This window comes from Homo sapiens, chromosome 15 (assembly GCF_000001405.40).
Source record: "Homo sapiens chromosome 15, GRCh38.p14 Primary Assembly".
NCBI classification, from domain to species: domain Eukaryota; kingdom Metazoa; phylum Chordata; class Mammalia; order Primates; family Hominidae; genus Homo; species Homo sapiens.
The window spans coordinates 55,870,288-55,893,599 of record NC_000015.10 but is presented as its reverse complement, the minus strand read 5'-3'; the positions used below and the strand labels follow the sequence as shown (position 1 = coordinate 55,893,599).

Below are 23,312 nucleotides of genomic sequence, written 5' to 3'. Positions count from 1 at the left end.
CAAATAAAAAAAAATTAAATGTCTTATAAATAGAATGGAAATTTAAACTCCACTTTAAGCAAAGAGGTTCTTAGATAATTTCAATTCAAGTTTTTAATTGTAAAACTTACAATTAAAGTTTTAATTAAAAACTTTAAGTTTTTAATTGTATTCTGGTCTTTTGTGATCTCTGAAGTATTTCTTGATCTGTTAGCTTAATTTAAATAGTATGATTAATAACGGCTTGAACATTTTTATGGCTGTAAATTCTTTCAATTTCTTTTTTTACTGCCTGCCCCAATTCTTGTCTTTAGAATTATATGATCTATACAGAGGAATCATGACATTTGCGCATAGAGGATTTTAATACAGCTCTGTGAAGACAGTTGTTATTAACAATGATTAAGATACTAATACAAATGTAAGCCTCTTGATCTTGAATCTTTGATCTTGATCTTACCTTTGAAGAAAGGTATTTAAACTTATCTGTGCTTCTTGGCTCACTCAGAAAAGTATTTCCTTCTGTAGCATCCAATTAATCACTAAGATCTGTTTCTATCTCAGGTTAGTTTACTGTAATCTTTATTGTTACACAAAATAAAATTATTTTAGATATATATGCAAAATGATAAATACCAGCTTGGTTGAGGCATTGTTTGTGGTAGCAAAAGATTTGAAACCATTTAGATTGTCAGTCTGAATTTAGATTGACAATCTAATTGTCTGTCAATAGGGAACTAGTTAAGGAAATTTTGCTGTACCATATAATAGCATACCATACAACCACCAAAAAGGTAAAGCATCTCTATATATATTGATATGTGAACAAAGTATGAAAGATAATGTTGAAGGGGGGAAAGCAAGCTGCATAACACTATGTCAGAGAAAACTCTAAAGGGATGGATAGGCACAAAAATAAAACAGCTATCACCTTTTGCAAGGACAGAGGGTAAAAATGGATAGCTGGAGGGTAGAAACTGTTTCATTTTCTTTTTGATTTTGTACTCGGTGTATGTGTTACTTATATTTTTAAATTACTTTTTAAAAAATGTTCTTGAAAGAAAAGTGCTGATAGCTAAATCTGAAAACTGAAAAAACAAATTATACTATATCTAATATTCAGGTATAAAATTTATTTTTACTCTTTAAAAAGCATGATTGAAACAAAAAGTTTGATATTACAGCAGAAAACCTTGGCTATCTTGTTGGCCTCTGGCTGTGAAGAAATTATTCTTTCTATAATCCTTTGCCTTTTACAGTAGATTTGCCCTGGAAAATTATTTATAATTCATATTTATTATTTATTTATTTATTTATTTATTTATTTATTTATTTATTTATTTATTTATTTATTGAGTTGGAGTTTTGCTCTTTTGCCTAGGCTGGAGTGAAGTGGTGCGATCTCAGCTCACTGCAGCCTCTGCCCCTCCAGGTTCAAGTGATTCTCATGCCTCTGCCTCACGAGTAGCTGGGATTCTAGGTGGCCACCACCACGCCTGGCTAATTTTTGTATTTTTAGTAGAGACGGGGTTTGGCCGTTTTGACCAGGCTGGTCTCAAACTCCTGACCTCAGGTGATCCACCTGCCTTGGCCTCCCAGAGTGTTAGGATTACAGGCATGAGCCACCGTGCCCAGCCTATAATTCATATTTAATAGAAACTCTTTTTAAAGCAAAGTATTCTTCAAAGTTGTGACACTTTAACTTAACTGTTTTTTAAATTCTGATTTTTTATTACTTTGGATTCTCTTAAAGCATAACATTTAGCTACTATTCATTCTTATTAAAGTTAACAACATTTGACCTCCTAAAATTAGAGCATCTTTAGTTCTAATTAAAGTTTTTACAAAAACAGCAATTTGGATTTTCTTTTTATGTTCTAAAAATTGTTTTAAGAAACTGAAATTCATGTCATTATAATACTAGAAAAGGTATTATTTACTGACTAAACTGTGCCCATTGCAGATAGTCCTGTTTAAAATCACCTGGTGTTCTAAATTCTTTTTCAGACTTTCAGGCATTCTTAAATTACTTATATTATACCAAATGCAAATTTGTTTTATGAAGTAGGCTGCATGCAGTTCAAATATAGGAAATAACTCTTGCAAAGAAATGCTTGATACTCAGAATTTGGAACAATTGGTTGGCTAGGGAAATATTAATGAACATCACAGACTGACTTGCCTTCATAGGAATGAATTTAAAACGATTACTTTTCCTTTGTAAATGGAAAAAGAACCTCTAATTGTCCTGTATTTATAGCAACCATATGTCCCAGACTTTCCAGGATAGTTCCCAATTTCAGATTCTCCATCTTCTTCTGAGACTATGCATATTGACTTTTAGTTTGGAAAATTTTTTCATTTTTCAAATATTGGAAATACAGCTATTTGGGATCATTTCATTTTATGTAGAAGTGAAGAAACTCATTTCAGATCATTGGCTTTAAATAAGACACTGTTGCAAGAAATATTTAAAATGTAGGTACTTGAGACAAGAAAATTCTCACCATGTGGGATTTTTGTTCTTTTGTTCCCAAAGACAACCAATGAACAACAAATATAGAGCAATAAAAACAGGTGATTTTTTTAGGGAGATGGGATGGGATGAGTTTTCTTTCTGTCCCTCAGTGACCAGGCACTGCCTCTCCAATGGAGATGAAAGCTGTAGGGAAGATTGTAAGAGATTTTAGGAAATAAGCACAATAAGCACATGAAAAGATGCTCAATCTCATTGGCTGCCAGGGAAATGCAAAAAGCCACGATGGTATACTACGTCACACCCACTAAGAAGGGTATTGTCATAAAGACAGGTCATTGTTGGTAAGAAAGGGGAGGAATTGAAATCTTACAGTGCTGATAGAAATGTAAAATGATGCAGCAACTTTGGAAAACGGTCTGGCAGATTTTTAGCAAATTCTGTTCCTGAGTATATATCCAAGAGAAATGAAAACATATGTTCGTACAAAAGCTTTTACTCAAATGTTCATAGTGGCATTATTTATAATAGCCAAACAGTTGAAACAACCCAAATGTCAATCAACTGAAAAATGGATAAATAAAATGTGGTATATCCATATAATGTAACAACAATAAAAAAGGAATGTTACAGTATGGATGAATCTTGGAAACATACTAAGTAAAATAAGTCAGTCATAAAGGACCACGTATTATATAATTCCACTTATATGAAATATCCAGAATAGGCAAATCCATAAAGACAGAAAGTGGTTGGTGGTTGCCTAGGACTGAAGGAGGGGTGGGGAAATGGGCAGTGAATGCTGATTGGTAAGGGTGTTCTTTTTGGGTGATGAAAATGTTCTAAAATTGATTGTCTAATGGTTGAACAACTCTGTGAAAATACTAAAAAACATTGAATTGTACACTCTAAGTGGGTTAATTGTATGTGAATTACATCTTAATAAAGCTTTTTTTATTTTTAATTTTTGTGGGTACATAGTAGGTATATATATTTATGAGGTACATGAGATATTTTGAAACAGGCATACAGTGCATAATAATTGCATCAGAGTAAATGGGGTATCCATCCCCTCAAGCTTTATCCTTTCTGTTACAAACAGTAGAATTATGCTCTTTTAGTTATTTTTAAATGTACAATTAGTCTTGGTGTGGTGGTTCATGCCTGTAATCCTAGCGCTTTGGGAGGCCGATGTGGGCAGATTGCCTGAGCTCAGGAGTTTGAGACCAGCCTGGGCAACACAGTGAAACCCCATCTCTACTAAAAAATACAAGAAATTAGCTGGGCGTGGTGGCACATGCCTGTAATTCTAGCTACTCAAGAGGCTGAGGCACAAGAATTGCTTGAACCTGGAAGGTGGAGGTTGCGGTGAGCTGAGATCACACCACTGCACTCCAGCCTGGGTGACAGAGCAAGACTCTGTCTCCAAAAAAAACAAAACAAAACAAAACAAAACACTAAATTAAATTATTTTTGACTAAAGTTACCCTATTCTGCTATCAAATACTAGATCTTATTTATTCTTTTTTGTGTAGCCATTACTTATCTCTACTTCTCCCTACCCCACTACCCTTGTTAGCCTCTGGTAACCATCATTCTACTCTCTATCTCAGTTCAATTGTTTTAATTTTTAGCTCCCACAAATAAGTGAGAACATGTGAAGTTTGTCTTTCTGTGCCTTGCTTATTTCACTTAACATAATGACCTTCAGTTTTATCCAGTTGTTGCAAATGAGCGGATCTCATTCCTTTTATGGCTGGATAGTACTCCATTGTGTATATGTACCGTATTTTCTTTATATGTCTGTTGATGGATACTTTGGTTGTTTTCAAATCTTGGCTATTGTGAACAGTGCTGAAATATCTCTTCAGCACTGAAGTGCACATATCCTTTCAATACGCTGATTTCCTTTCTTTTGGGCATATACCTAGTAGTGAGATTGCTGGATTATATGGTCGTTCTATTTTCTTCCAATCTATGGGCTGTCTCCCCACTTTGTTGATTGTTTATTGTGGGCTGTGCAAAAGCTTTTTACCTTGATGTGATCCCATTTGTCCATTTTGATTTGGTTGTCTGTGCTTATGGAGTATTACTGAAGAAATCTTTGCCTTCTCCAATGTCTGCAGAGTTTCTTCAGTTTTCTTTTATTACTTTGATAGTTCAAGGTCTTAGATGTAAGTGTTTAATCCATTTTTATTTGATTTTTGTATAAGGTGAGAAATAGGAGTCTAGTTTGTTTCTTTTGCATGTGGATATCCAGTTTTCTCAGCACCAGTTATTAAAGAAACTGTCCTTTCCCCAGTGTATGTTCTCGGCACCTTTACCCAATATGAATTCACTGTAGATGTATGGATTTGTTTCTGGGTTCTCTATTCTGTTCCATTGGTCTGTCTGTTTTTATACCAGTACCATGCCATTTTGGTTACAATAGCTTTGTAATGTAATTTGATGTCAGGTAATGTGATTTCTCCAGTTTTGTTCTTTTTGCTTAGGATGCCTCTGGCTATTCTGGGTATTTTGTGGTTCCACATAAATTTCAGGATTCTGTTTTCTATTTCTGTGAAAAATGTCATTGGCATTTTTATAGGGATTGCATCAAATCTGTAGATTGCTTTGGGTAGTATGGGCATTTTAACAATATTGATTCTTCTGATCCATGAACATACCTTTCCATTTTTTGTGTCCTCTTTGATTTCTTTCATCAGTGTTTGATAGAGATATTTCACGTCTTTGGTTAATTCCTAGGTAATTTATTTGTAGTTATTGTAAATAGGATTGCCTTCTTGATTTATTTTACAAATTGTTTACTCTTGGCATTGAGAAATGCTACTGATATTTGTATGTTAATTATGTATCATGCAACTTTACTGAATGTATCAGTTCTAATGGTTTTTTGGTGCAGTCTTTAGGTTTTTTCAAATATAAGATCATATCATCTACAAACAAGGATAATGTGACTTCTTCCTTTCCAATTTGGATGCCCCTTATTTCTTTTTCTTGCCTGATTGCTGTAGCTAGGACTTCCCTTACTACATTGAATAACAGTGGTGAAAGTGGCATTCCTGTCATGTTCCAGATGTTAGAGGAAAGGCTTTTAGTTTTTCCCTATTCAGTATGATATTCACTATGGGTCTGTCATGTATGACTTTTGTTATGTTGAGCTATATTTCTTCGATACCATTTTTTGTAGTGTTTTATCATGAAATGATGTTGAAATTTATCAAATACTTTTTCAGCATCAATTGAAATGATCATTCTGTTTATAATCAATACTTCATTCTGTTGATGTGTTGTATCACATTCATTAATTTGCATATCTTGAACCATCCTTGCATCCCTGTAATGAATCCCCCTTGGTCATGATGAATGATCTTTTTAATAGGTTGTTGAATTCGGTTTGCTAGTATTTTGTTGAGGATTTTTGTATCAATGCTTGTCAGAAATTTGGCCCTGTAGTTTTCTTTTTTGGTTGTGTCTGTTTGGTTTTGGTCTCTGAGTAATACTGGCTTCATATGATAAGTTTGGAAGTATTCCCTCCTCCTCTGTTTTTCAGAATTGTTTGAGTAGGATTGGTATTAGTTCTTTAAATATTTGGTAAAATTCATCAGTGAAGCCATTGGATGCTGGGCTTTTCCTTGGTGATAGACATTTTATTACAGCTTCAATCTCATTACTTGTTATTGGTCTGTTCCTGTTTTGGATTTCTTCATGGCTCAATCTTAATAGGTTGTATGTGTCTAGGAATTTATCCACTTCTAGATTTTCCAATTTATTGCATATACTTGGTCATAATCTCTAATGATCCTTTGATTTCTGTGGTATCAGTTGTAATGTCTCCATTTTCATCTCTGATTTTATTTATTTGGGTTTTCTCTCTTTTTTTCTTAGTCTGGCTAAAGGTTTGTTAATTTTGTTTATCTTTTTTTAAAAACCAACTTCTTTTTGTTGGTCTTTTGTGTCATTTTCTTCATTTCAATTTCATTTATTTTTGCTCTGATCATTATTATCTCTTTTATTCTACTAATTTTGGGTTTGGTTTGCTCTTGCTTTTCTAGTTCTTTAAGATGCACTTTTTACGCTGTTTATTTGAAGTTTTTTTTTTCTTTTTTGATGTAGGCACTGTTAGCTATAAACTTTCCCCTGAGTACTGCTTTTGCTGTATCCCAGAGGTTTTGGTATGTTATTCTTCCATTATTTGTTTCAAGAAAATTTTCAATATCCTTCTTAATTTCTTCATTAACCCACTGTTCATTCATTCAGGAGCATACTATTTAATTTCGATGTTTTTGTATCATTTCCAAAATTCCTTTTGTTATTTATTTCTAGTTTTATTCCTTTGTGGTCAGAGAAGATATTTGATATTATTTCAATTTTTTTTTTTTTTTTTGAGACGGAGTCTTGCTCTGTTGTCCAGGCTGGAGTGCAGTGGTGTGACCTTGGCACACTGCAACCTCTGTCTCCTGGGTTCAAGCAGTTCTCCTGCCTCAGCCTCCCGAGTAGCTGGGACTACAGACCAGCACGCTCTGCTAATTTTTTGTATTTTTAGTAGAGATGGGGTTTCACCATGTTGGCAGGATGGTCTCGATCTCTGACCTCGTGATCCACCCACCTCGGCCTCCCAAAGTGCTGGGATTAGAGGCGTGAGCAACCACGCCTGGCCCATTTCAATTTTTTAAAACGTTTTAAGGCTTATTTTGTGGCCTAATAAATGGTCTGTCCTTGAGAAGGATCCATGCACTGAGAATAATGTGTAATCTGAAGCAGTTGAATGAAGTGTTCTCTAAACATTTATTAGGTCCATTTGGTCTGTAGTGCAGATTAAGTCTGATGTTTCTTTGTTGATTTTCTGTCCGGATATCTGTCCAATGCTGAAAGTGTGATGTTGAATTCTCAAGCTATAATTGTATTGGGGTCTGTCTCTCTCTTTATCGCTAATAATATTTTCTTTTTATATCTGAGTGCTCCAGTGTTGGGTGCATATAGACTTATAATTGTTATATCCTATTATTGAATTGACCCATTTGTTATTATATAATGACCTTCTTTGTCTTTTTTTATAGTTTTTGTCTTGAAGTCTATTTTATCTGATACAGCTACTCATGCCCTTTTTTGATTTCCGTTTTAATGAAGTACCTTTTTCCATCCCTTTGTTTTTAGTCTTTATGTCTTTATAGGTGAAATGTGTTTCTTGTAGACAACAGATTGTTGGGTCTTGATTTTTTTTTTTTAAATCTATTCAGCCACTGTATGTCTTTTGATTGGAGCGTTTAGTCTGTTTATATTCAGTGTTATTATTGTTCAGTAAAGACTTACCCCTGCCATTTTGTTATTTGTTTTCTGGTTGTTTTATAGTTTTTTCTTCCTTCTTTTCTTCCTTCCTGTCTTCCTTTTAGTGAAGGTGATTTTATCTGGTGGTATGTTTTAATTTCTGTCTTTTAATTTTTTGTGTATCTTTTGTATGTCTTTTTATTTAAGGTTACCAAGAGGCTTGCAAATATTTTATAAGTTATTGTTTTAAACTGATGACAACTTAACACTGATTGCATAAACAAAGTAACAAGCCAAGAGAAAACTAATAAAAACTCTAACTTTGTCCTCTTGCTTTTTTTTTATTTCTATTTATATCTTCTTGTACTATGTCTTAAAAAGTTGTTATAGGTACTATTTTTGATCAGTTCATCTTTTAGTCTTTCTACTTAACATATGAGTAGTTAGCACACCACAATTACAGTATTATCATATTCTGTGCTTTTCTGTGTTCTTACTGTTACCAGTGAAATTTGTACCTTCAGATAATTTCCTGTTGCTCATTAATATCCTTTTCTTTCAGACTGAAGAACTCCCTTTAGCATTTCTTGTAGGACAGGTCTGGTATTGATGAAATCCCTCAGGTTTTGTTTGTCTGTGAAAGTCTTTATTTCTCCTTCATGTTTGAAGGACATTTTCGCCAGATATACTATTGTAGGGTAAAACTTTTTTTACTTCAGCACTTCTAAAATGTCATGCCACTATCTCCAAGGTAATAAGGTTTCCACTGAAAAGTCTGCTTCCTGATGTACTGGAATTCCATTGTGTGTTATTTGTTTCTTTTGCTGCTTTTAGGATCCGTTCTTTACCCCTGACCTGTGGGAGTTTTGTTAATAAATATCTTGAGGAGTCTTATTTAGGTCATATGTGCTTGGTGTTCTATAACCTTCTTGTACTTGAATATTGATCTCTTTCTCTAGGTTTGGACAGTTCTCTGTTATTATCCCTTTGAGTAAACTTTCTACTTCAATCTCTGTCTCTACTTCTTTAAAGACAATACCTCTTCGATTTGCCCATTTGAGGCTATTTTCTAGATCTTGTAGGTGTGCTTCATTGTTTTTTATTCTTTTTATTTTGTCTCCTCTTACTGTGTTTTTTAAAATAGCCTTTCTTAAAATTCACTATTCTTTCTTCTGCTTGATAAATTCTGATATTAACAGACTCTGATGCATTACTCAATATATCAGTTGCTTTTTTCAGCTCCAGAATTTCTGCTTGATTCTTTTTAATTATTTTAATCTCTTTTGTTAAATTTATCTGACAGGATTCTGAATTCTTTTTCTGTGTATCTTGAATTTCATTGAGTTTCCTCAAAACAACTCTTTTGAATTCTCTGTCTGAAAGGTCACATATATCTCTGTTTCTGGGATAGGTCCCTGGTGCTTTATTTAGCACATTCTGTGAGGTCATATTTTCCTGGATGGTCTAGATGCTTGTGGATGTTTGCCAATGTCTGGACATTGAAAAGTTAGGTATTTATTATAGTCTTCACAGTCTATGCTTATTTTTACCCATCCTTCTTGGGGAGGCTTTCCAGGTATTCAAAGGGACCTGGTTGTTGTGATCTGAGTTTTGGTTGCTGCAGCCATATGTGTGTTAGGGGACATTCCAAGCCCAGTAATGCTGTGGCTCTTGAACTTACAGAAGTACCACCTTGGGACCAGGCATGGTGGCTCATGCCTGTAATCCCAGCACTTTGGGAGGCCAAGGTGGGTGGATCACTTGAGGTCAGGAGTTCAAGACCAGCCTGGCCAACATGGTGAAACCCAATCTCTGCTAAAAATACAAACATTAGCCAGACATGGTGGCAGGTGCCTGTAATCCCAGCTACTTGGGAGGCTGAGGCAGGAGAATTGCTTGAACCTGGGAGGTAGAGATTGCAGTGAGCCAAGATCATGCCACTGTACTCCAGCCTGGGCAACAGGGTGAGACTCTGTCTCAAAAAAAAAAAAAAAGAAGTGCCACTTTGGTGGTCTTGGATGACATCTGGAAGAATTCTTTGGATTACCAGGCAGAGACTCTTGTTCTTCTCCCTTACTTTCTCCCAGACAAATAGAGTGTCTCTCTCTCTCACACACAAATAGAGTCTCTCTCTCTCTCTTTCTCTTTCTGTGTGTGTGTGTGTGTGTGTGTGTGTGTGTTTGTGTGTGTGTGTGTGTTGAGATGCCTGGAACTAGGGGAGGGATGACACAAGCATCCCTGTGGCCACCACCACTGGGAATGCACTGGGTCAAACCTAAAGCCAGCACAGCACTGAGTCTCGCCCAAGGCCTGCTGTAACCACTCGCTAGCTGCCACCTCTGTTTGCTCCAAGGCCCTAGGGCTCTACAATCAGCAGATAAAGTCAGCCAGGCTTGTGACCTTCTCTTCAGGGCAGCAAGTTACCTTGGGCCCAGAGTGCATTCAGAGATGCCGTCTAGAAGTCAGGGCCTGGAGTCAGAAAGCTTAGGAATCTACCTTGTACACTATTCTGCTGCAGCTGAGTGGACACACAAACCATAAGACAAAGTTCTTCCCACTCTTCCCTTCTCTTTCCACAGGCAGAGTCTCTCCGTGGCCACTCCTGCCACAGGGCTATGGGGAGTACTGCCAGACTACCACCAGTGTTCACTCAAGGCCCCAGGGCTCTTCAGTCACCTGGTGGTGAATGCTGCCAGGCCTGGAATTCACTCTACTGAGAAGTGGGCTCCCCTGTATCCCAGGGAAGGTCCAGAAATGCCATCCAAGAACTGAGCCTTGGCATCAAGGACCCCAAGAGGCTTGGTGCTCTACCCTACTGTGGCCAAGCTGGTACCTAAACTGTAATACAAAGTCCTCTTTACTCTTCCTTCTACTCTTCCCACGCAGGAGTCTCTATAGCCAACACAGCTGAGAATGTGCTGGATTTCACCTGAAACCTGTATGTCTCAGAGTCTCACCTAAGGCCCATGATGTATACTATCTGGTTACTGCTGCTGATTATTCAGGACCTAAGGCTCTTCAGTCAGCAAGTGTCCTAGCCTACTATGGCTGAGCTGGTATCCAGGTTGTAAGACAAAGTCCTCTTTACTCTTCTTAAGCAAAAGGAAGGAGTTTCTTTCAGAGCTGCATGCTGCACTGCCTGGGGTTGGTGTAGGGGTGGCACACGCACTCCCTTGACCACTCCAACTGGTGTCTCACTAGATCACCTGCCCCCCAAGTCCACTGGTTCCAATCCAAGCCCAGTACGAACTAGGACTTAACTAGGAATTGCAGTCCTTGTGGCCTAAACTGCCTTTCAAGTTTATTTAGAACCCCAGAGTGCTTTAGCCCACAGTGGTGAGGCTTGCCAGAACTCAAGCTCCAACCACTAGGATGGACAATTCTCCACCGGCTCTGGCTGATCTAAATGCCACCTTCATGGACCATGGCTGAGTTCTGCCTGGTGTTGCTTTCCACTGTGACAATGCAGCACTGAGTTCCAATGCAAAGTCCCACTGTCACTGAGCTCTCCCAACCCTAAGTGCACGGATTCTCCATGCCATACAGCCACTGCCAGGGGATGGAGGGGGTGGGTGTCAGCAACTGAAGACTGTCTTTCCTACCCTCTTCAGTGCCTCTTTCAGTGATGTGAAGTTAAAACTAGATACTGTGATTGCTCACCTGATTTTTGGTTCTTATGAAGGTGCTTTTTGTGTGATTTTTAAATTTTGTGTTTCTGCAGGTAGGATGATCAGTGGAGGCTTCTATTTGGTTTTCTTGCTCCACTTCCTGCCTAAAAGCTGTTACTTTTAAAAACCAAAATTAGGAAGAGACTTCTGCACGTTTGTTGGAACATTTGGTCTTATACCTTCTGTAGCAGTGGTTCTTAATGAGGAATGATCTTGCCACCCAGGGGATATTTGACAAAGCCAGAAAATGTTTTTGGTTGTTATAACTGGAGGGCGGGTACTACTGACACAAGTGGGTAGAGGCCAGGAATGTTGGTAAATATCCTTCAATGCACAAGACAGCCCCCACAACAAAAAAAAAATTATCTGGCTCGAATTGTCAGTAGTGCCCAAGCTGAGAAACCCTGTTCTGTGCCTGTATTACTCTAGTGACAGTTGATCACAGCTATGTTTTTTAAGCACTGCAGGGTCACAAATCATCAAACATACAGATGTTCAGTGTATTCTGTTTACTCAGGACAAGGCTATTTAATAAGACTAAACCAAAAAAAAAGTTGTTTTTGTTTTTGTTTTTTTTAATCTGATTAAGCCTAAACCTAAGTTAACTAGATAATTCAGTTACCCAAAATATTTTATTCCTCAGTCATCCTGATTGAGATTTTACTATTTTTTGTTATATTTTACTTATTCATGTAGAGCTTCTTAAAGATCAGACTTAATGAAGCATAACATCTACTTGTGATAAAAACAGGAATAAAGAAACATACTGGCTGGGCACTGTGGCTCATGCCTGTAATCCCAGCACTTTGGAAGGCCGAGGTGGGTAGATTACTGGAGGTCAGGAGTTCAAGACCAGCCTGGCCAACATGGTGAAACCCTGTCTCTACTAAAAATACAAAATTAGGCGGGAGTGGTGGCGTGTGCCTGTAATCCCAGCTACTCAGGAGGCTGAGGCAGGAGAATTGCCGGAACCCGGGAGGTAGAGGTTGCAGTGAGCCGAGATCACGCCATTGCACTCCAGCCTGGGCAAAAAGAGTAAAACTGCATCTCAAAAAAAAAAAAAAAGAAAAGAAAAGAAACTTACTGCAATATAGCCTTGAAAACATCATTAAAAGCTAACTTACCCATTTCAAAAATTATCATCAACTCATGTTCTAGAATAGGAATATGGCGTTAAACTAAGCTAATTTGTTAGGCCTTAGACTCCAACCGTACTCCTTTTCTTGGATATACCTGTTTGAAATGTCCACACACTGGTCCAGGGAAAGGGGAGCAGGGGTTTCATTATATACGCCAGTATTTTAAATATATATTAGCTAACATGTTTTGAATACTTACTGTGTGCTGGGTATTATGCAGGGCACTTTGTATTCTCTTATTTAATTTTCACCAAACCCTACTAGTCGATATGATTATCCCTACTCTTCTAGGAAACATCTCTCTCGTAGCTGTCTTCCTGCTCCAGTATGCACTGGTTGCTCTCTAGGTGTTACATAACTGTTACTCTGAGACTTCCTTTCCCTGTCTTTCTGAGATTCCTCTATGCTCTCCTATCTTGAATCCCCTGCATCTTCCATATCACGGCACACTCCCTCATTTTGGTGAAGTATATCCTCCATTACCTCCCTGAAAATACCAGTATCTGAAAATGTCTTTATTCTACCATCATAATTGAAAAAGGTAGTTTTTCTGAATGTAGAATTCTACATAAGAAATATCTTTCTCTCATTATTTTGCAGGAAGTACTCTCTTATATTTCAGGTTTGTGTATTAGCTACTTTGTTACTCTCCAAGCTTTTAGAATTTCTTTATCTCTGGTGCTCTGAAATGTCACGGTGATGTGCCTTGCAGCAAGTCTTTTTCCCCTTTCATGCACTTTGCCTAATATTCAGTGGGCCTTTTTATTCTTTTTTTTTGGAGACGGGGTCTCACTCCGTCACCCAGACTAGCGTGCAATGGTGCGATCTCGGCTCACTGCAACCTCCACTTCCTGGGTTCAAGCAATTCTCCTGCCTCAGCCTCCTGAGTAGCTGGGATTAAAGGCATGTACCACTATGCCCTGCTGATTTTTGTATTTTTAGTAGAGATGGGGTTTCACCATGTAGGTCAGGCTGGTCTCGAACTCCTGACCTCATGATCCGCCATCCTTGGCCTCCCAAAGTGCTGGGATTGATTACAGGCATGAGACACCATGCCCAGCCAGCCCTTTTATTTTTAATATTCTCTTCCTTGAGTTCAAGCAAAGTTACTTAAAATGCTTTTTTGATAATGTCCTCCCTTTCCTCTTTTCTTTCTGGAATGCCTATTATTTCGATGTTGACTTTTGAATTTTCTCCTGTAATTTCCTTATTTGAAGAATCCTATAGTGTATTGTCTTTTAGTTCTACTTTCTGAGAATTTTTTTAACTCTATCTTCTAACTCTATCTTGAAGTTTTTGAGTTATATTTTTTATTTCTAAGAGATATTTCTTGTCCTCTAATTGCTTCTTTTTTGCAGCCTCCTATCTTGTTTGACAGGTGGTTCATCTCCTCTTATCTCTGGGAATATTACGGTTTTTCTGAGGTATTTTTCTTGCAATTTGACTTGATTCTTATTCATCAGACTCCCGTCTTTCATTTAGGTCTGTGTGTTTCATGTTATAAACTTTCCCCAAATATTTAGTAGTCCATAACTGCCCATAATGTATAATATTCCAATATTTATTGGAAGGGTTTTGTTCATGGGCATCTACTGACTAGTGGACTTCACTTTGGGGTGAGCAGAGAGAATTAGTCATTTTATTGGAAGACTTCCTGGATTTAATATCTATAAGTCTGTCTCATTGGGTTGCTTAGTTGTTCCAGAGAGGAATTTTCTTTCCTGGGAAGTATATATTTGTCTGCCAGTATTCTAGAAGCCAAGTGAAACAAAGGAGTTGGAGAGGTCCTTATTGTTTGGTATTAGGACTTTCACTCATTCTCTCACTTATCTCTCTGCTGTCATCTACTCTTCCAGTCTCCCTTTTTTCTTTCTTTTACTGTTCATGTAAATTAAATCGGACAGCATGTACTCTTTTGTATCTTCTTTTTATAATTAAACTTTTCTGGCCAGGCACTGTGGCTCATGCCTATAATCCCAGCACTTTGGGAGTCCAAGTCAGGTGGATCACCTGGGGTCAGTAGTTTGAGACTAGCCTGGCCAACATGGTAAAACCTGTCTTTACTAATAACACAAAAAAATTAGCTGGTTGTGGTGGCACATGCCTGTAATCTCAGCTACTTGCGAGGCTGAGGCAGAAGAATCGCTTGAACGAGGGAGGCGGAGGTTGCAGTGAGTCGAGATCGCGCCATTGCACCCCAGCCTGGGCGACAAGAGCGAAACTCCGTCTCAAAAAAACAAAACAAACAAACAAAAAAACCACTTTTCTTTGAGATTTATATATGTTATTTTGTATATCCGTTCATTTCATTTCATCGCTGAGTAATTCTACTAGTTGTATATCCCACAGTTTTATTTTTCAAAGGACATTTATTTCCAGTTTAGGCTATTATGAATGAAATTCTGTGAACATTCTTGAAGAAGTATTTTAGAGGATATTTGTTTTTATTCTCTTAAGAAAATACAAGGAGCAGAATTTCTTGGTCATATACTGGTATATGTTTAACTTTATAAGAGAGTTTTGATTGCACCACACCCTGACCAATATTTGTTTTTGTCAGACTTTTTTTATTTTAGCTATTCCAGGGGGTTTGAAGTAGTACTGCATTGTGATTTTAATTTGCATTTCCCTGATGATTAATAGTGATAAGCATATTTTCATATAATATTTACCATTTATTTATCTTCTTGTTTGAAATATCTGTTCAAGTCTTATGCCCATTTTAATGGGACAGTTTTTCTGTTTATTATTGATTCATATTATTGACTTATAGTAATATTTTATGAATTGATCTCTTTATTATTATGAAATGTTTCTTTTTATTTGTGGTAATACTCATCATCATGAAATCTAATTTGTCTGATATTATTATAGCCACTTATACTTACTGTATACCTGATTATTTTTTCCATACCTTTATCTTCAATTTATCTGTATATTTGAATTCAAAGTTCATCTCTTGAGCCTGAAAGTAATAAGCACCTTGAACCCGGATCTTTATATCTAAATATGATTCTCCAGTAAAATTTATCAGGGTTCTCTGGACAAGTGGCTGATTGATTGTAGAGCAGGGATAAGAAGAGTATATGCTGAACCTGAATCATTTTTGTGGTGCCAAAAAGTAAGGAAGTACACAAAAAAATTGAGAAGATATCAGAAATGCACAAAAACTAACCTGAAGTGACTCTCAATGACCATATCTGGGACAATTTGAGTAAAAAAATAAGTAACAATAATGGATTATATCTTATAAGATAATATAAAACAAATATCAATGAGTCTATGATGATATAAATTAGAATGTATAAATGGGAGGAAGGGGAAAATTCTTTGCTTAAGCAGAATAATAATTAATTAATATAAAAAGAATAATGGAAATGGTAGAAATAGAAAGTCAACATTTGGCAAGCACCACAGTAATAATTGTTGCAGGCAAGAATCATCAATGGATGCTAAAGTTTGTGAGAAAAAGTTTGATGAGAAATGGGCTATTTACATAACCTCAAAGGCTTTTCCCACAAGATACTGTTAATTACAAAGGGGAAAATATTGAGAAACATGGAAGACAGCACCTTAACCAAATGATTGAAGTTAATACCATTAGTAATGCAACAAATCAGTATCGTGTGCCTCCTGATATGATGCACTGAGAAGGGCACAAGCATCACCTTTATGGTATTCTTGCAAAAAATGCATAATCTAAATTCAACCATGAAGAAATATTAGAAGGATGTTCTATGACTAGTCAGTACTGCTCAAAAATGTCAAGATTATGAAAGACAAAGAAAGACTAAGGTACTTTCCAGATTTAAAGAAATTAAATAGACAGGACTACTAAATGCAATATATGAGTCTGAATTGGACCCTGGACTAAAATTAGGCAGACAGTTGGTGAATTTTGAGTCAAGTCTGTAGAGTAGTTAATAGTATTTCTGGTTTTGATCATCATAATATGGTTATTTAAGATGTTAACATTTGGTGGATCTGGGTGAAAAGTATATGAGGATTCTCTCGCAGTATTTTTGCAATTTTTTTAAATCTGAAATTCTTTTAAAATGAGAAGTTGGCTGGGCACAGTGGCTCACACCTGTAATCCCAGCACTTTGAAACACCAAGGCAGGAGACTCGCTTGAGCCCAGGAGTTTGAGACCATCCTGCGTAAGATGGCAAGACTCCATCTCTTTAAAAAAAAAGAAAAAAGAAAAAAAAAGTGAAAAAAAAAGAAAAACATTTAATAAAATATTTTTAAACAATAATGATAGATGTCTTTTATAGGCAACATATGGTTAGATTTTGCATTTTTATTCAGCTTGACAATCTCTGTCTTTAATTGGACTAGTTTGTCATAATTTATATGGCTGGATTTAGCTCTCAGAATGTGCAGTTTATTTCTGTTCCTCTCATCTGTTTCTTTGTTTCTCTTTTCCTGCCTTATTTTGGGTTAGTCAGATATTTCCAATATTCCATTTTAACTCTTCTCTGTGCTTTTTAGCTCTGCAGTCAATTAATGATTAACTTATGTCAATCATACCACTTTATATAAAATATAAGTCTTGCAACAATATAGATTTGATTATTCCACCTATCTTGTGCACAATGTTGTCATTTTTATTACATCTACATATATTTTAAACCCATAGTATAGCGATACAATTTTTTTTTTGTATACAACAATTTGTTCTTTAAAAGATTGAGAAGGTACCTTAAAAAAAAAAAACTTTACCCACATATTTACCATTTTCTGGTGCTCTTTATTACTCTCTTTAGATCTGAATTTCTATCTGGTGCCACTTATCCTCAGCCTGAAGAACTTCCTATAGCATATTCTGTAGTGCCAACAATTTGTCTGCTGATGACAAATTATCTCTACTTTATCCGAAAGTATCTTTATTTTCCTTCCCTTTTTTATGGATAGTTTTTGCTAGATACAGAATTCTTGGTACATTTTCCATTTCAGCACTTATAGATATCATTCAGTTGTCTTCTGGCTTCCATTGTTTTTGACGAGAAGTCAACCATTATTTGTATTCTTATTCTCCTGTGTGTAATGTATTTTAGGCTGCTTTCAAGATTTTCTGTTTATCTTTTGTTTTCAGCGTTTAATAATGGTGTGCCTACCCATGTTTTCTTTATGTTTATCCTGCTTCAGTTCACTGACTTTATTGACTGTCTCAGCTTGTGTTTTTCTAAATGTGTGAATATTTTGGCTGTTTTTTTCCCCAAATATTTTTCTGCCCTATTACCTATCCCCTTTTATGGAACTCCAGTTACACATACGTCAGACTGCTTGAAATTTTTCCACAAGTTCCCTTTATTTTTCATATTAGATAAATTCTGTCTCTATATCTTCAAGTTCATACTTTTCTCCAGTCATCTTCAATTGTCTTTTAAACCCATTTATTGAATTTTTTTATTTCATGTATTATATTTTTCAGTTCTAAAATGTACATCTGGCCGGCCGTGGTGGCTAACACCTGTAATCCCAGCACTTTGGGAGGCTGAGGCAGGCGGATCACCTGAGGTCAGGAGTTTGAGACCAGACTGGTCAACATGGTGAAACCCTGTCTCTACTAAAAATACAAAAATCAGCCAGGCATGGTAGTGCATGGTGCATGCCTGTAATCCCAGCTACCTGTGTGGCTAAGACAAGACAAATCACTTGAACCCAGGAAGTAGAGGTTGCAGTTAGCTGTGATTGCACCACTGCACTCCAGCTAGGGTGACAGAGCAAGACTCTGTCTCAAAAATAAAATTAAATAAAATAAAATGTGCATTTGATTCATTTTTAGTTTCCCCTTCACTGCTGAGGTTCCCCATCTTTTCATTCATTATGACCTTATTTTTCTTTTAAGTCCTTTGAACATCTTTATAATAGCTGCTTTATTTTCCTTGTCTGCTTATTCCATGATCTGCGTCATCTTGTGGCTGGTTTCTGTTAATTACTTTTTCTCTTCCTACTGGGTTTTTTTTTTTATTTCTTTGCATGTCTAGTAATTTTTTTATTGTGGGCTGGACAATGAATATAGTAACTAATAGAGACAGTGAATTTTATTATATTTCCCTGAGGAGAGTTGATTTCCTTTTTTTTTTTCTTTTTGAGCGGAGTCTTACTCTGTCACCCAAGCTGGAGTGCAGTGGCATGGTCCAGGCTCACTGCAACGTCTGCCTCCTGGATTTAAGCCACTCTCCTGCCTCAGCCTCCCAAGTAGCTGGGATTACAGGCATGTGCCACCACACCTGGCTAATTTTTGTATTTTTCGTAGAGATGAGGTTTCACCGTGTTGGTCAGGCTGGTCTCTAACTCCTGACCTCAGGTGATCCGCCCACCTCGGCCTCCCAAAGTGCTGGGATTACAGGTGTAAGCCTCCATGCCCAGTGTTGATTTTTGTTCTAGCAAGTTAACATAGCTGAACTCCAAATTCTGCTTCCCTTTTGGTGAACATCAGCTGAAATCAGTGCTGAGCCCTCTCAGTCTTCCATCTGTTGATTTTCACTTGTTCAGTTCAGAGTAAAACTAGGGATTTAGGTAAGAGTTTATATATAGATTTGGAAGAACTCTGGTGGCTTCTTTTTTTCTGGGACGTTTCTCCTCTTTTTCTAGATATGCTGTCAACCCCAAACTAGGCCTTCTGACTCCTCAAGCCAGTAATAGTGCAGATTTCAGCTTAAGTTCTAGGCTCTCTGCATTATGTGGACTGTAGAATACTACTAGAGGAAAAGCCATATAAATACTGAATCTTACCTAGTGTAGTTCCTTCTTTGAAGGATTGACATCCCTCCAGTTTCTGCTTGTTTGGGGTCATTCTGTTGTACTTTCAAATAGCTCTTTTAGTATTTTGTCACAGAATATAATTGTTATCTGCAGAAGGATTAATCTAATATATGCTACTCTGCCATTACCAGAAGTTGTACCACATTACTTTTTATTTTCCATTGATGCTGCATATGACTGAATAAAAAAAAAACTCTACATTTTCTGTGAATGGTGGCACTATCTCATCAAACTCTTCTAAAGGAATTGAGCGTATTACTAATTATATTTTTTCTTCCTTCTCTTATAGACAAGAGATGATTTCCTAGGTCAAGTGGATGTTCCACTTTATCCATTACCGGTTGGTATAGGTGTCCATGATTTTCCTTTTGGGCTTATTTTTTTAATTTAATAAATACTTACATATATAATATAGCTACTGTAAATAATTGATTTATCAAATGTATACTACTTTTATTTATTGAGCATACTGTTTTCTAAAAACTCATTTCAATTTTCCGTTTCCATTTTCTCTTTAAGATTTCCGTTCATGAACCCCAGTGAGAAATAGAGAATTTCTGATGTTTGTTGGCATTGTGAAAACATTGTGTAAAAAAGATTAGTTTGAAAATATTCTGCTGAATAACTAGAATGAGGAGTGCCTAAGCTCACAGAAGAAAACTAAGATAGTTTACGACAATGGAAACATAAAACACTAAGAATCAGGACTAAGAATATAGCAAGGAGAAAAACAGATTCAGGAAACATTGCAAAATAGAACATTATTGAATCACATGTCTGACATGGAGGCTTAAGAAAATAAGCAAGAAGTAAAGATAATACAAGTTGAACTTGGAAGATAAGAGTGGCGTCTCTTGTAGAAAAGTGAGGAAGAAAAGCCATTTTGTTTTGAAAAGCAAAAAATTTATTTTTGGACAAACAGAGTTTTGATAGGAAACAAAGAAAATGAAAGTTTAAAGTAGACTGCTGACAGAGAGATAAAAATCAGCTAGGTAGGGAAAAGGGACTGGAAGGATTGAGTGTTATCACTGTCCAGATAACAGCAGAATCTCTGAGAATAATGGGCTCTCCTGATGAAAGAGATAAGAACGGAGGGCCAGCCATTGACCCTCAGTCAACGTGAGTGGATCAGAAAAGAAAGAGAAGACAGACAAGGGGAAACAGGAAAAGAGCCAAGTAAAATAATGTCATGAGAATTTAAGAAAGGAGTTTCAAGGCAGACTGGGTAGTTAACAATGCAGAACATCAGAGAAGGATAATAAAAACTAACAACTGCTGAATTTTAAAGAAAGAGAAAAAATACTTCTTTTTCAGTCTTGTGAGTTATATTAATTGGCTCTCCACAGTCTTTCCAGAGCATAATCTTTTTTTTTTTTTTTTAAACAGGGTGCAGGACCATAAGCTTTCAGTAATATATTTAATCCAGTCTTACTTTCCAGGCTGTTGACTTTTTTGATCTCCTAGAATTATCTCTATGCTCTAACCAAGCCAGCCTGCAGACATGTGCATAGTCCGTGTTCTTTTGGGATGTTAACATACTAACCACTCTATACTGTTTTTCTGCTTATTCTCTTCTGCCCTCCCTTTGGCTCCACAACCCACCTGCTCAGCTAGTTTTCATTTGAGTTGTGATGTCGGCTGCAATTCCTCTTGGGCAGGAAAGTGAAAGCACTGTCAAGTTAGCATTTGATAAACTAAAGCTACTTTTTTTTCTCACTTCCAACTTAAATTATGCCTTAGGTGATAGTTCATGAGTATTCTTGAAAAGTACATGCTTTTGGTGTTATAGATATATTTTGAAAACCCACTATTTTATTCTAGACAGAAAATCCAAGATTGGAGAGACCATATACATTTAAGGATTTTGTTCTTCATCCAAGAAGGTCAGTAAATATAAAATAATAATAGCATATTAAATTTTTTATCTCTTCATTACACCTTACAGTAGCCTTATTAGAAATTCAGGGTTTAAACCTCTGTAAATAAGTTACTTCTAAATATTATTATTATTATTATTATTATTTTAAAAGCTTCATTGCTATTTCTGATTAAAAGTACTGTATGCACATTGCAAAACATTCTGAAAATACAGAAAGTGATCACAGCCTTTTGGGAAAGATTCGTTCTCCTAATACTTATCAGACTAGAAGGCTATTTATGTCATATTGTCATACTATGCTTTAAAAAATCACAAACATGAATTCATCTAAAACCATTACCTAACTCGACGTGCACAAAGCCAATTTCAGAAAAACCTAACTATATTTTGCATACTTAGTATTTCAGAAGACTCAAATATTTAGAGAAAATAACATAAGACTGGAATTTAAAACCCAAATAGCATGCTTATAATTCCATTTTCCCAAACAAAGTTACTTGATGTTTATCAAAAAAATTTAAATTTAAGCTGTAACTAAAACTCCTTTTGATCTTCTATACCTCATTGACAAGTAAAATCTAGTGAAAACGTGTGTGGATTTACTGTCAAAAAGGTCAAACTAAAGCAGAGAAAGGACATCTGTGAAAGCAACAGTATTTGTCTTGTTTCTTAAACTATAAAATGCATTTGAAAATGTACTTTTGGAACTTAGTAAAATTTTTCACTTAAAAATGATTTTTTAAATTACTGTTTGTAATGTAAATATTAAAAAAATGAAAAGGAGTGCTCACTGACTGTTAATATTTACTCTCTATAAAGGAAGTCACATTTAATTTCTGTAGATGTCTGGAATGTAAATCTCTTTTAGTCTTTTAATTTTAGACTGATTGTGACATCTGCATATCAAGAATAACTAAATTGTTTTTTCTTATTTGATTGTCCTAGCAGCCTGCTTTTCAATTTGTCACATGCTTTCTAGCGTCTTTATCTTTAAAAAATACAATTTGTTTCTTCTGTCTGCAATGAATATTATTGCAAGTGTAGAAAGAACTTTATTCAGATAGAAAATGTACTACATTCCTAAATTTGTGTGAGCCCCATTAAGTCAAAACCTTGAGGCTTCTTTTCCAATTGAAAAGACATGAAACATACAATTGTAGAGAAACTTTTCAACAAAACATTGTCTGAGCACATTTTCTGTATCCATCTTTTATAGCCACAAGTCAGAATGTTCACATCTCCTTCAGTATGGAGACACAAGCCACATTAGCGGCCTTGGGAATAAGCATCAGGATTTCACTGACTACTCATGAAAGGATACACTAAATTTGCCAAATCCATGAGAACCATACAGAGAAGAGCTAAAAAGATTAGGGGAGGCTTGGGAGTGGGGGTAGGTAATCTCTTGAAGACAGAATAAAAGGATTAGGACTCTTGTCTAGAAAGACAAAGGGTAATTGCTACATATCTGATATCTGTAAAAAATCATCCCCAAAAAATCTATATAGAGAGCTGAGACAAGTAAGGATTTCTTAAGTAAATCATAGGATACTAGAATTGATGAGGACAATAGAATTAAGCCTTAAATTAGAACCTTATGAAAGCATTGTAATTGTAGCACTTTGGGAGGCTTAGGTGGGTGGATTGCTTGAGCCCAGGAATTCCAGACCAGCCTGGGCAACATGGCAAAACCCTGTCTCTACAAAAAAATACAAAAATTAACCGGGCATGGCAGTGTGTGCCTGTAGTCCCAGTTATTTAGGAGGCTAAGGTGTGAAGATCACCTGAGCCTGGGAGGTCAAGGCTGCAGTGAACCGTAATTGAGCCACTGTGCTTCATCCTGGGCGACAGAGGGAGATGCTGTCTCAAAACAAAAAAAAAAAAAAAAAGAAGAAGAAGAAGAAGAAAAAAAAAGCAGCAGCAGCTTATGAAAGACAGGTTTTCAAAAGATTTAAAATATTACTACAGCAGGCAGCAGCCTTTAGCTTAGACAACTGATTATTCAAAAAGGTGATACAATATAAAAATAGATTAGGTAAATTAATGTGTGACAGATTCAAACAGCTGCCAAAGAGATGTAGCAGGTTTCAGACACTGATCAGGCCTTGCCCTCTACTCTTCTGTCATCCAA

General features: G+C 36.3%; 1 protein-coding gene across 10 annotated transcripts in view, besides 1 other annotated feature; it reads left to right on the top strand.

Annotated features, from left to right (window-relative positions):
* The window catches only part of NEDD4 (NEDD4 E3 ubiquitin protein ligase), a 166,696-nt gene that overhangs the window by 100,013 nt on the left and 43,371 nt on the right, over positions 1-23,312 (top strand). For 7 of the 10 annotated variants that reach the window (NM_001284339.1, NM_006154.4, NM_001329212.2 and 4 more), the window contains 2 exons: positions 19,592-19,642; positions 21,124-21,185. The exons of 2 other annotated variants lie outside the window; for them this stretch is intronic. In NM_001284339.1, coding sequence (NP_001271268.1) covers positions 19,592-19,642; positions 21,124-21,185 — 113 coding nt within the window. The remainder of the gene's footprint in view (positions 1-19,591; positions 19,643-21,123; positions 21,186-23,312) is intronic. One more of the 10 variants, NM_001284340.1, reaches the window with a different exon arrangement.
* Positions 1,835-2,004: an enhancer, noted in NCBI's record as "experimental_40173 CRE fragment used in MPRA reporter constructs". NCBI's record gives its function as "activates a minimal promoter by MPRAs in K562 erythroleukemia cells, with activity observed for both the introgressed and non-introgressed 15:56183879 variant alleles {active_cell/tissue: K562}" and the evidence as "EXISTENCE:reporter gene assay evidence [ECO:0000049][PMID:34662402]".